Source organism: Homo sapiens, chromosome 4 (assembly GCF_000001405.40).
Source record: "Homo sapiens chromosome 4, GRCh38.p14 Primary Assembly".
NCBI lineage: Eukaryota > Metazoa > Chordata > Mammalia > Primates > Hominidae > Homo > Homo sapiens.
Genome location: NC_000004.12, coordinates 17,689,590 through 17,702,821, shown reverse-complemented (window position 1 = coordinate 17,702,821; position 13,232 = coordinate 17,689,590). Strand labels below are relative to the sequence as shown.

Below are 13,232 nucleotides of genomic sequence, written 5' to 3'. Positions count from 1 at the left end.
GCTCTCGCAGAACTACAGGTTGCCCTGGTAACCTGTCAGCCACACCTGACCCTGAATGTGTAAATCTCACTTCAGCCTTAATAGGGGGCATGAGTCCACCTGGGATATGAATCATGTCACAATAAGTTGCACTTACTTGTTTTTTTGGTTTTACATTTTGTTCGTTTCCAAGAACTGAGAATTTAAATTAGGCCATGCAGATTGGGAAAGGTGAAACCTTAAAGAGGCCTCCAATCTAGGGTTTATGGACTAAAAATAGATATCATTTTCCCCTGTAGAGTTAGGAGTGCACTATTTCTTTGAGCCCTTGTCTGCAGGTATACTGTGTATCCTAAGTGCTACCCTACCCTAAAGAAAACACTATAGGAGGTGGGCTGGAGCTGACCTGTAGGCCTTGATGCCTTCCTTGACCCCAGATTAGATGATACTGTCACCGAATCTTGATGGACAGCACAGTACACATCCTATAATTAGCATTTGCATACACTGACTCCTAGGGAAGGGGTGCAGATGATGTATTCAGCACCTCCTGAGCTGTGCTAATCACTTCTGCAATTCTCATTTGTATCACTTAGGATTCTTGGTGACAAGAATCACAAACCAAACTGGGCGTTTAGGCAGAAAAGGAATTTAACAAGCGTAATGGAAGACCAAGGAACTGGGCTTGGCAGCTACCCAGCCAGGAATAATGTCCCAAATCTATTGCAAAACAAATTAGAACACCTATGCTGCCACCTCTGAACCTGGACCTGCAGCTTACACAGCCAACACCACCCACACTGGGCCCTGCGCATTGCCTGGAGAACTGACTGAGCTATCTAATACGGAAGCCACTAGACATGTGTGGTTACTTAAATTTGAATTAATTACAATCAAATAAAATTTAAATTTCAGTTCCTCAGTGGCACTAGCCACATTTCAAGTGCTCCCTAGTCATATATGGCCAGTGGCTACCCTACTGGCCAGCACAGGTCTGAGCATAGTGTCTGAGAAATCACACAGAAATGTGATTTCTGCACATTAGCTACGTCACACTGTGGAACATTCCATCATCACAGAAAGTTCGGTTGGTCAGTACAGCTCTAGAACAGCTGGCCCTGCTGCCCCTGGATACTGCAGGTGCCAAGTTCTGTGTGCTTCCCACTGTCCACATCATGGCCTGTGATTTGCAATCCAGGATAGGTGCGCCTGACTGGGAAGCTTCAGTCATGTGCCCATGCTCAAGCTGCAGGCAGTCTGGTGTTTTCCAGGTCTATAATAAGAGGAGGGCTCTGATCCATCAGATGGAGGGTTCTCAAACATCCAAATGGAAGGGAGGCTAGATCTTTGGCAGCCAAAATGAATGACAACTCTCCACTCAGCATTCAGATCCTGACCTCAGCTCTGTTGTTGTTTTTCCACTTCATAGACAAGGAACTTGGGAAATTAAGTAACTTGAGTAGAACACAACTAAAGTTGGATATGAATCAGGCTTGTCTGACTCCATAGCCAGTAATTCTTGCTCTCTACCAGTCTATGTGTATAAAAGAATATACATTGCCCTGGGCCGTAGATTATAACATTCGGGTCCTCGCTCTGCCGTTATTCATCTACTGTTTATTTACCATTGACTGAATGCATATTTATGTTTCGAGCAATGCAGGAACACAGGAATCAGCCATGTCTTCAGGGAACAAACAATCTGGTAGGGAGGACAAGATCTAGTCAAACAACCAGAGTCAAGTCAGTGTGTAATAAGCACTGTGCCTGGGGAGAGCAGTCTCACTGTCAAATCTTAAATATGTCACCTCGACATATGTCATTATGGCCTCTGTTTTCTAATTTTAAATAACAAATATTAATGATATTTTCTCAAATTTTTTTCTTTATTTGCTACTACCACCAAAATCTCAGATTTTTTTTTCATATTTCTATCAATTTCCAAAATAACCCTGGTTATTTAGAAGTATATTGTTCAATGTCCAACTATTTGGGACATTTCTAGATATCATTTTATTATTGATTTCTAATTTGGTTCCCCTGTGGTTAGATAATAGATTCAGTCATTTCATTCCTTTGAAATTTTTTCAGCTTGTTTTTGGCCCAAACGTGGTCTGTCTAGATGAATGGTTCATGTGTACTTGAAAAGAATCTGAATCTGCTGCTGTTGGGTGGAGTGTTCTATAAAAGCTAATTAGGTCAAGTTTGTTGATAGTATTGTTCAAGTCTATTATGTCCTTACTGATTTTTCTCTGCTCGTTCTGTTGATCACTGAGAGAGGAAGATTGAAATCTCAAATTAAAATTGTAGATTTGTCTATTTCTCCTTTTGGTTCTCAGTTTTTGTTTCATGTAAATTGAAACCTTTTTATTTGTGCATATACATTTAGGATTCTTGTGTCTTCTTGATGAATTGACTCTTATTATTTATGAAATATTTTTTGTCCTGAAGTCTGCTTTGTCTGATAATATATGTATATTCCAGCATGTTTACGGTTAGTGTATCTTGGTCTATTTTAATCTGTCCTTTTACTTTAACCTGTGTCTTTCTATTAAAAGTGCTTTTGTGGTATACTTGGATCCTTTTTTATACAGATTGACAATCTCCGCCTTTTAGGGGACATTCAGACCATTCACATTTAATGTAATTATCATTAAGTGTACCATCTTGTTTTTCCTACTTGTCACATCTGTTCCCCACCCCCTTTTCCCGTTTAATTTGGATACATTGAGTATTTTGGGGGTATTCCATTTTCTAGCTCCACCTTTGACTTACTAGGTATGCTCTCTTTTGGCAAAGTGGAGAGCTAGTGGTTACTGTAGGATTTGGAATATGCACCTTTAAATTTATTGGTCTGTCTTGAAATACATTACTTCACACATACAAACCTCATGATAATACATTTTCATTTCACCCTTTGTGTTCTTTGTACAATAGTTGTTATATATTGTATTTTATTTTACACGTGCTGTAAATCCCACAGTACATTGCTTTTATATTTGCTTAAACGGACAACCATATTTTAGAGAAAAAAAAGTTAATGAGAAAAAAGGGTCATTTTCCCATTTGTTTGCCATTTCTGCAGTCTTCATTCCTTTGGTGGCTTCAAGTGCCTGTATAGTATTATTTTTCTTTAGCCTAAAGAACTTCCTGTAACATTTCTTGTAGCGTGTGTCAACTCCTACTCACAACATATTTTCTTTCTCTATTTTTCCTTCATTTTTGTTGGATATTTTTACTGGATATAGAATTCTAGGTTGACAGTTGTTTTTTCTTTCAACACTTTAAAGATGTCATTCAGTATCTTTTGGTTTGCATTTTATTCTAATGAAAAGTTAACAGCCACATTTATCTTCTTTTCCTTGTGCATAGTATATTTCTTCTTATCGGCTGCTTTCAAGATTTTCTCTTTATCACTAGTTTTCAACAATTTGGTTATGATATGCCATGATGTGATTTTCTTTGTGTTTTTGTTATAGGCTCATTGAATCTATGAGTTTACAGTTTTCATGAAATTTGGAAATTTTATGGCCATTTCTTCCATTTCTTTTCCTGCTCTTGCTTCTCTTCTAATATTGTCCCACAAGTCATTGAGGTTCTCTTCGTTTTCAGATTCCTTGTCTCTCTGTTTCAGTTTGGATAATTTCTCTTGCTGTATCTTCAAGTTTACTCATCTTTCTTTCTGTACCATCTAATCTTTTTAAAAACCCATTCAGTACATTTTTCACTTTAGATATTATAATTTTTAGCCTTAGAAATTCCATTCTGTTCTTCTTTACAGTTTCCTTCTCCCTCCTCATTATTTTCATGTTTTCCTTTAAATTATTGAATACATTTATAAATGTTCCTTTAACATTGTCATCTCTGTCACTTTTGGGTCTTTTTTATTCTGCTCTTTATGAGACACATTTTTCTGCTTCTTTGCCTATTTAGTAATTTTTTATTGAATGCTGGACATTGAGAATGTTAAGTTGTTGAACATCTAGTTTTTGTTGTCCTCTTTGCTGAATTTTGTTTTGACAGGCAGTTAAATTACTTGTGAACCAGCTTCATTGTGTGAGACATTTTTATTATGATAAATTATACATAACATAACATTTTCAATTTTCCAGATTTATTTTTAAGCTTGGTTAGGATGAGTCTAGAGCAGAATTTTCTCTAACTCTAGTTAAGCCCTACTACTGAGTTGGGACACTTCATGGGGTCTCCCATGTATTGATTAGTATCAGTGTTGGTATTATTGCTAATGACTGGTTCTGAGTGATTATTTAAGGCCTTGTACTGGTTGACTCTTTCAGCTGCATCATGAACTTTAAATATATACCAAATAATTAACTTTTCTTTTTGAAAAAAGTTAACAAGTTTTCTCGTAATACGCCAACTGAAATCTCTACATGGTAATTTTCGGTGATTGCTCAGTTGTTCCCTTACAGTGGCACTTTTACATCTCTTTTCCTTAATTACCTGTAATTGTAGACAATCTGGACAAAGAAACAGAAAATGAGTGTGAGTCCTGTATCTACGTCTTATCAGCAGTGGGATTTCCTCTGTGTAAAATGGGTGCCATAAAACCTGTTTTCCTGGGTATCTGAAAGTTCAGTGAGAATAGAGTTTATGAAAATGCTCTGTGAATTCTATAAATTAATGGCCCATGAAACAGTCTTCCAGGTTTGGGCTGAAGCAGTTTAAATATCTGAGAGCATTAGTCTCCTTTTTTCTCAATATCCTTGTCTTTGTTATTGTTTTTTTGTTTGTTTTTTTTTTTCTCTTTACCTGAGTTAAGGGAATTTTCCTGTTGAAATCTTCAAGGTCACTTTGGGCTGAGCTGGACTGGGCATGCTTCTTTCAAATCTGTGTTCTCCAGTGACCCAGAACTGTTTGTTTTCTGAAAGCAAACCACATTATTTTGCACCCAACATGAAGCTTAGTAATGCCAAAAATTACTGCTGAAATTGATTATTTCCATCTGAGGGAGAATTTTTTTTCACATTAGGTTCATTTGTCAAGGTTACAGCTGAAGCTATGATTAATCACTTGTAGACTGCGAAGTTAAGCTACGTAAAATTAGAAATAGCCATTCCTTTATGCTAAAAATTATTATCACAGGTGATTGTCACTGTGCTGTTACAGTGAACACATCTTGGCAATGTTAGTGAGTGTCTTCTTTATTAAAGCATGTTAAACAAAACTTCTGTTCAATAAAAGCTTCTATGGATGAGAAGCTAATTAATGAAGTAAAGATAATGAATTTTTGTTGAAGGGATGGCCTTGCTGCTGATGATTGCTTAAGTTACCTGAACTTGTTTGAAACCAAAGGAGAATTTACATACTGTGTTTAGAAAATGAGCTCTCAGAAACAACAAGCCCTGCAAAAGGGGATCATAGATTTACTGAACAGAGACTATACACATGCTAAATATCCAGGGTTTTTTTTTCTTCTCTTTTAAGTGACTGACCCCAGGAAAAATGCTAAGGGCCTCCCCAGAGTCACTGGCCTAGGCTGGGCTTGGCCCCATAGGAAGTATAAAGGTATCATGCAGGTGATCAGCAGCAGTATCTTTTCAGATGTTCAACTTGGAAACTCAGGAGTCAAACATGATCCCTTTCTCACCCCTCACATTCAGTCATCCATCAAATGTATTAATTCTGCTTCTTCAATGACTGTGGAATTCCTCCACTTCCCTCTCTCCTCAGTGGTACCATGCTGATCCAGTCAACCTCCATTTCATGATGGACTGTGCGATGATTTCCCTGCCTCCAGTCTCCCCACTTCATGTAATCTAATCTTCATTGCAGTGGAAACTTCTGGAAATTCAACCTTGGTTTCAAACTCTCCAATCACTCCCTATCATCGTTATAATGTATTAAATAGTTCCAATTCCTTAACATGGTTCTTAAGACCCTACAGAGGCACACTCCTGATTGCTCTCTTCTACCTCATCCCACACCTCTCCCCTGTCCAACTCTGCCCTCCACCCTTTTACTATTTATTTATTTATTTATTTATTTATTCATTCATTCATTCATTTAGAGACAAGGTCTTGCTTTGACATGCAGGCTGGAATACAGTGATGCGATCATGGCTCACTGCAGCCTCGAACTCCTGGGCTAAAGTGATCCTCCTGCCTCGGCCCCCTGAGTAGCTAAGACTACAGGTACATGCCAACAAGCCCAGCTAATTTTTTAAAAATTTCGTAGAGATAGCGTCTCGCTGTGTTGCCAAGGCTAGTCTCAAACTCCTGGCTTCAAACAATTCTCCTGCCTCATTCTCCCAAAGTGTTGGGATTATAGGCGTGAGCACACTCGATGGTTCCAGCCTTTTAGTTCATCTTTCATTCCATGTTCTTTATCTTGATGAAGAGTACTTTCTCCCTGCTTCCACATTTACCTGCCTGGTCCCGTCCGGTTCTTAATGATCCTTCCAGTCTAGCTTAAACATGGGTTTTCCTACAAGTCTTCTCTGCTCAGCCTAGTGATGCTGTTGTCCGATACATGACAACCTCTGTACTCACACAGTCAAGCATTTTTCTGTACTAGGAACTAAATTTTCCTTAAGAAGGCAGGGAAGAAGCACAGTCAACCAATCAGGCTTTCCTGAGTTCAAATCTTGACCCTGGGCAAGGCGTTTAACCTCTTTAAGTTTCATTTCTTTATCTTTACAATAAGGCTTAGTGGTAGTACCTAAGTCATACTGCTTTCACAAAGACCAGAGAGATGATCTGTGTAAAGTGCCAGCAAATGGCATGTACTCAGCAAATGTCAGCTACTGTTATCATGTCCATTAGATCTACAGGTCTATAATCAACTGACAGCCTAGGAGAGCTGCTCTACAAATACCTGCTGGATATTGTAACCTCTAATTCACAGGAAATTTTGGAGTGTCCGAGGGCTTGGTTCTTTAATGTCTTATATTTTCCTTCATGTTCTCTCCCTAGCTTTTCTCATTCAAATGCATGCCTCTATACATTCTGTATGTTGATGGTTCTCAAATGCATACTCCAACCCAGAACCCTCCCCTGAATTCCAGACCCTCTATCTATCTAATTAGACATCTAACAGATGTATCAAGCTTGACACATGCAGACAAGCTCCTCAGATGGTCCCTGAATCCACTCCTGTCTTCCCCACCTCAGTTCATGGCGGCACCATTCTCTCCTAGTGTCATCCTGACCTCTCCTTTCAGTGAGTCCTGTCACTCAACATTCCACATATATCCCAAGTTCTACCCCTCCTCCCAGCTGCACTGCCACCACAGGCCCAGCCACCATCACTCTTACCTCAGTTACCACCACAGCCTCCTCCCAGGCCTGCCTGCCACTGCTCTCACCCAATGCCTCCACCCACATCAGTCTGTACTCAAGAAGGAAGCCGTAGTGAAGCTGGGCATGGTGGCTCATGCATGTAATCCTAGCACTTTGAGAGGTGAAAGTGGGAGGATCGCTGGAGTTTAGGAGTTCAAGACCAGCCTGGGCTACATAGCAAGACCCCATCTCTAAAAAAATTTTTTTTTAAATTAGCTGGGCATGGTGGCATGCACCTGTAGTCTCAGCTACTTCAGAGGCTGAGGTAGGAGGATTGCTTGAGCCCGGGTGGTCAAGGGTGCAGTGAGCCATGATTGTGCTATTGTACTCCATCCAGTCTGGGTGACAGAGCGAGACCCTGTCTCAGAAAAAAAAAAAACAACAAAGAAAAACAGTAGCCAGCTTATCCAAATATAATTGCAACCACGTCACTCCTCACTGGTTAGTCTTACCTTGATGCTTGAGGCCTCAGATGGTGCTCCTCAAACCTCATCTAGTCTAGCCATGGCAGCTCCTCTCTGTCCTTAGAACATTCCAGGGCCTTTGCAGGTCCTGGAAACCTCACACACAGATATCTCCTTGGTGAACTCCCTCACTTATTACAGGATTTTACTCTAAAGTCACTTTCTGGAGCACTTCTCTGGCCAAGTTGTCTAACATTTCAGCCCTTCCCCAACACTGCAGAGCCCCCTCCCAGCTTTATTATTTCTCCATCCAACCTAGTGTTTGCCGTCTTGTTAGCTCATGGACTTTGATTGCTGCCTGTCTTTTTCACTCAAATGTCAGCTCCTGGTGTGTAGGAATTCTCCCTTTTATCTCCCCAGCTCTGAGGACAGTGCCTGGCACATAGTAGATCTCAAGAAATATTTGTTGAATGAATGAGTAACACAATGTCTACCTAAAGTTCAGCTAAGAGGAACAGACTATCTCATTCACTCCTCTAGATACTTGCACAATTTCCACAGAAATTAAGCTAGAACAGAAAGCCTAGGTCTCTATGACAATTTTTTTTTTTTTTTGAGATGGAGTCTTGCTCTGTCACCCAGGCTGGAGTGCAGTGGCACCATCTCGGCTCACTACAAGCTCCCCCTCCTGGGTTCACACCATTCTCCTGCCTCAGCCTCCCGAGTAGCTGGGACTACAGGCACCCACCACCACACCTGGCTAGTTTTTTGTATTTTTAGTGGAGACGGGGTTTCACTGTGTTAGCCAGGATGGTCTCGATCTGCTGACCTCGTGATCCACCCACCTCGGCCTCCCAAAGTGCTGGGATTACAGGCGTCAGCCACCGCGCCTGGCCCCTCTATGAGAATTATATTAGTGCTTGTCATCTACCAATCCTTTACTATGTACCTGGAGTGGCAGGGAGCAAGTGAGTAGCACAGTGAGTCACTGAGAGGTTAGGAAATGTAGGAAATGTGCTCGAGATGACACAGCTGGAACGTAACTGCACCGCTCATGTGGTCCCCAGAATGTTCCTTCACCTGGATCTGCTTTGCACTGAGGCTCATGGGCTGTGGTGAGGGACCATGGAGCAATAGGCCCTGGGAATCCCATCATTTATTTTATTTTATTTATGTATTTGTTTTTAAAATAGAGACACCATCTCACTATGTTGCTCGGGCTGGTCTCGAACCCCCGGACTCAAGCAATCCACTTGCCTCAGCCTCCTAAAGTGCTGGGATTACAGGCGTGAGCCACCATACCCGGCTAACCACACCATTTTGACTCATGTATGGATGCTGTTGAGAAGAAATTTTGTACTGCTTTTCCTATTTCCCTGCATCCGAAAATGTAGTTGGCTTTTTTACTTATGTGACACTGACAAGTTTGTTAGTAATGAATGTGACACTGAGAATTTTGTTAGTAATGAGCATTTTTTTATTTGACACTAGAAAACTTAAAGACAACAATTTGCCCCGCCCCACCCCTATATATATCAGGCTTTGTGTTGTGACGTTAACACGTGTTTTCTTTTGACCTTCTCGTGTATGTCTAATTTATGTTTATTTGCAGTGTTGTATGACACTCATAAGCTTCTTTGATCTCTGGGAATAAGGCAGGGTGTGAAAACATTAAGTGTCCTGTTTTCGTGCCTTGTATGGTTAACTCTTCCAATCATCATTTAGGAAGTAGAAGCACAGTTGGAGGAAGTGAGGAAGAAATCAGAAAAGGAGATAAAGCAGCTGGAAGAAGAGAAAGCAGCCCTCAATGTGAAGCTTCAGAATTCTCTGCTTGAGGTGAGCCCTGACCAAATGCAAGCCTTGGGGTGCTGTTTCTGGTCCCTGGGAGCTTCTACCTAACTGAGAAGCCAAGAATTTTGGAAGACAGAAAAGGACACTCAGCCAGACAGGCAGGCTGTCTCGGGGGGCGTGCATTTAGCTGCAAGTAACAGAGAGCCAGATTAGAGATGCTTAAACAAAGAGGCTTTTAATGTCTCAAATAAGAGAAGGACACAGGAGGCCGCTGGTGTTGGTTCTGTGGCTTCATGAAGGCACAAGTGGGTAGCCTGCAGTTCCCCTGCCTTTCCTTCCCCAGGGTTACATTCGCCCCTTTGTGGGCTCTTAGCAATTTTGCCTTTCTAGGCCCTTCCTTTATTAAAAAATATTAAAAATTTATATTTTATGACTGCATTGGTAGAAAGATGAATATCATCCAGACTATACTTTTTTCTGATTTTAAAAGAAATTAACACATTTTCGTGGGCCCCTAAAAGTATCAAAGAACTAGTGGAAAAGGCTAGAAACAGAATCCTAAGAGCCATTTCTGAGCCTGCTTAAACCAAAAAAATGTCAACAAGTTTCCTTCCTTCCCCTGTCCTCCCTCAAACCTTCCACATGAGACCTGTGTCTCCCACCTGCTTCAGGAACCCATGAAACCAGTTCCTCAGCCCTGGCTGTACATCACAACCTCTAGGGAATTTTTAAGAACACAAAGGCCATGCGCAAAACAGTATCGATTGTTTAGGAATATCCAAGAGGTCAATCTAAACAAGGCATGAGGACCAGTGGTTATCTCTAGAAGGGAGAGACTGTAAGGAGCTGCAGCTGTATTTGTGACATGTTATTTCTTTAGCTGAGTGATAAGTACACAGGTGTGATGTTTCTCTAACTCCTTCTATTTCTAAAATCATTATTTTAAAAAATGATGAGTATGTCTTTCCTTAGAGTTGATATTTCAGGGTCTAGAGGTGGGTCTTGGTGAAAAGTTCTGGGATAGAGGCTTCTGTTCTGGCCCAGACCAAGGTGGGGCTGCACAGCAAAGAAGCCTTTCTCTATCCTTCCTCCTTTCTTCCCTGCTGTCCTCCCTTCCTTCTGCCTTTCCCTCACTCCCTCCTCCTTCACTTCTCCCTCCCTCCATCTCTTCCTCTCGCCCTGTTGAAGATACACTGCCAGTCTTCATGTTGTACATGGACCACTCCTCACTGCAGAGCTTAAGGTGGCCTGTACATGTATGAGACCAGCCCAGTTATTCTTTTTTTTTTTTTTTTGAGACGGAGTCTCGCTCTGTTGCCCGACTGGAGTGCAGTGGCGCAATCTCAGCTCACTGCAACCTCCGCCTCCCGGGTTCAAGCGATTCTCCTGTCTCAGCCTCCTGAGTAGCTGGGATTACAGGTGCCTGCCACCACGCCTGGCTAATTTTTGTATTTTTGGTGGAGATGGGGTTTCACCATGTTGGCCAGGATGGTCTCAGTCTCTTGACCTCGTGATCTGCCTGCCTTGGCCTCCCAAAGTGCTGGGATTACAGGCCCAGTCATTCTTTTGAATAACACAGGTCAGGGAAGCCTGGGCCCTGACCTATTTCTGTGAATGTGCCTTAGAGCTCTTTTTTTTCCTTTCTTTTTTTTTTTTTTTTTGAGATGGAATCTCACTCTATCGCCCAGGCTGGAGTGCATTGGCGTGATCTCAGCTCACTGCAACCTCCACCTCCTGGGTTCAAGCAATTCTCCTGCCTCAGCCTCCCAACTAGCTGGAATTACAGGCGCATGCCACCACACCAGGCTAATTTTTTGCATTTTAGTAAAGACGGGGTTTCACCGTGTTGCCCAGGCTGGTCGCGAACTCCTGAGCTCAGGTGATCCACCCATCTCTGCCTCCCGAAGTGCTGGGATTACAGGCGTGAGCCACCGTGCCCAGCCCAGAGCTCTTTTTTTAAAAACAATAATGGCTAGCTTTGTGGAGCACTTGCTCTAGTCAAGATACTATCTAAGAAGTTTACATTTACTATTTTAATCCTCATAACAACTTTACCATGTAGGTGCTATTATCATCTCTATATACAAATGACACAACTGAGGCACAGAGAAGGTAAATCACTTTCCCAACATTGCATAGCTAACAAGTAGCAGGTCTGGGATTCAAACCCAGGTAATGTGGCTCTAATGACCCCACCCTTAACCGCTAAGCTAATACTGCCTCTAGTATGGTATGTTGCCTCTTTGATGACTAAGGGTCACTCAGAACCTGAATGTTTACATTCAGTTGCAAGTCATGACCAAGAGGTTGACCATTGACAAAGGGCCTCAGTCTTGCTCTCCATTCTTGACTCCTCCTACCCCCTAAATGATGCTACAATCTGTCCCCACCTTACCAAAGCTAGAAATGAAAGTGTCATCCTTGATCATAGTCTCTTCTCCCAGCTCTCCCATCCTCACCCCTAGTCACAATCCTGCCCTATCATCACACCCGATCCTTGTCAAGTCCTGTGGGTCCTACGCCTTAAGCCTTTCTGTCCCCTCCCTTGTCTCCACACCTATGCCTTGAACAAGATCCTTGGAATGACTTGCCTAGACTCTTTCCCCACTTGTAGATGTTACATAAACAATTGCACCAGCTCCTCTGAATATTTCATAAACCTTAGCAAGACGCAGTTTAAGCATAGTTTTATAATCTTGAAATATCTCTTTCTCTAATATTCCTTATGGAAAGTCTGGAAGGACTTTCCGATAGCCTTGCTGTTCCCCTGCAATGTTGCTAGAGTCTTGCAAGAGCGTTGCCATGGATCTTTCTGCCTCCACGTTCTCTCTAGGCCAGCTACTCCCAGAACTCATGTTCTAAAATCCAAATCTGCTCAAAGCCCCACTCCTCCCTTCCTAAAATCTTGAATCCCCATCTTCTTCACAATTTGGGCCGAACCTCACTTGCTACCACTATCCTCCAAGGCTCTGCTGCCTCTGTCCCGTCCTTCACTCTGGCCCCTCCAACATGGACTCTTTCTTCAGTCCTCACATCTACCCCACCCGCCCTCTACCACTACACCTGCTGTTTCTGCTGTCTGGAATGCACTATCCCACCTTCACCAATGGCAGACTCCTGTTCATCCTTCAGTGCCCTTAAGCTGCTTGAATGCCCCTGGGCAGAGTTTATTGTTGTAAATTCTTTTTTTTTTTTTTTTGAGACGGAGTCTCGTTCTGTCACCCAGGCTGGAGTGCAATGGTGCAATCTTGGTTCACTGTAACCTCCGCCTCTCAGGTTCAAGCAATTCTTCTGCCTCAGCCTCCCAAGTAGCTGGGATTACAGGCACGCACCAACAGGCCCAGCTAATTGTGTATTTTTAGTAGAGATGGGGTTTCGCCATGTTGGCCAGACAGGTCTCAAACTCCTGACCTCAGGTGATCTGTCCACCTCGGCCTCCCAAAGTTCTGGGATTACAGGCATAAGCCACCACACCCGGCCCTATTGCTGTAAATTCTGTGCAGTAGTGCCTACCTTATAAAGGCTGTTGTGAGGATTAAAAGAGTTAATACTGTAGAGGTTCCTGGCTGGGTGTAGTGGTTCATCCCTATAATCTCAGCACTTTGGGAGGCTGAGGTGGGAGGATCTCTTGAGCCTAGGAGTTTGAGACCAGCCTGGGCAACATAGCAAGATCCCATCTCAATTTTTTAAAAAAGAAAATAATTTTTTTAAAAAAGGCTTAGATTCCTGGGTGGCACAGAGCAAATGGACCATTAAG

At 42.2% G+C, this 13,232-nt stretch overlaps 1 protein-coding gene across 2 annotated transcripts in view; it reads left to right on the top strand.

Moving 5' to 3' along the window:
• The window catches only part of FAM184B (family with sequence similarity 184 member B), a 152,316-nt gene that overhangs the window by 78,800 nt on the left and 60,284 nt on the right, over positions 1-13,232 (top strand). For both annotated transcript variants that reach the window (NM_015688.2, XM_047450066.1), the window contains exon 6: positions 9,410-9,520. In NM_015688.2, the coding sequence (NP_056503.1) occupies positions 9,410-9,520 (111 nt within the window). The remainder of the gene's footprint in view (positions 1-9,409; positions 9,521-13,232) is intronic.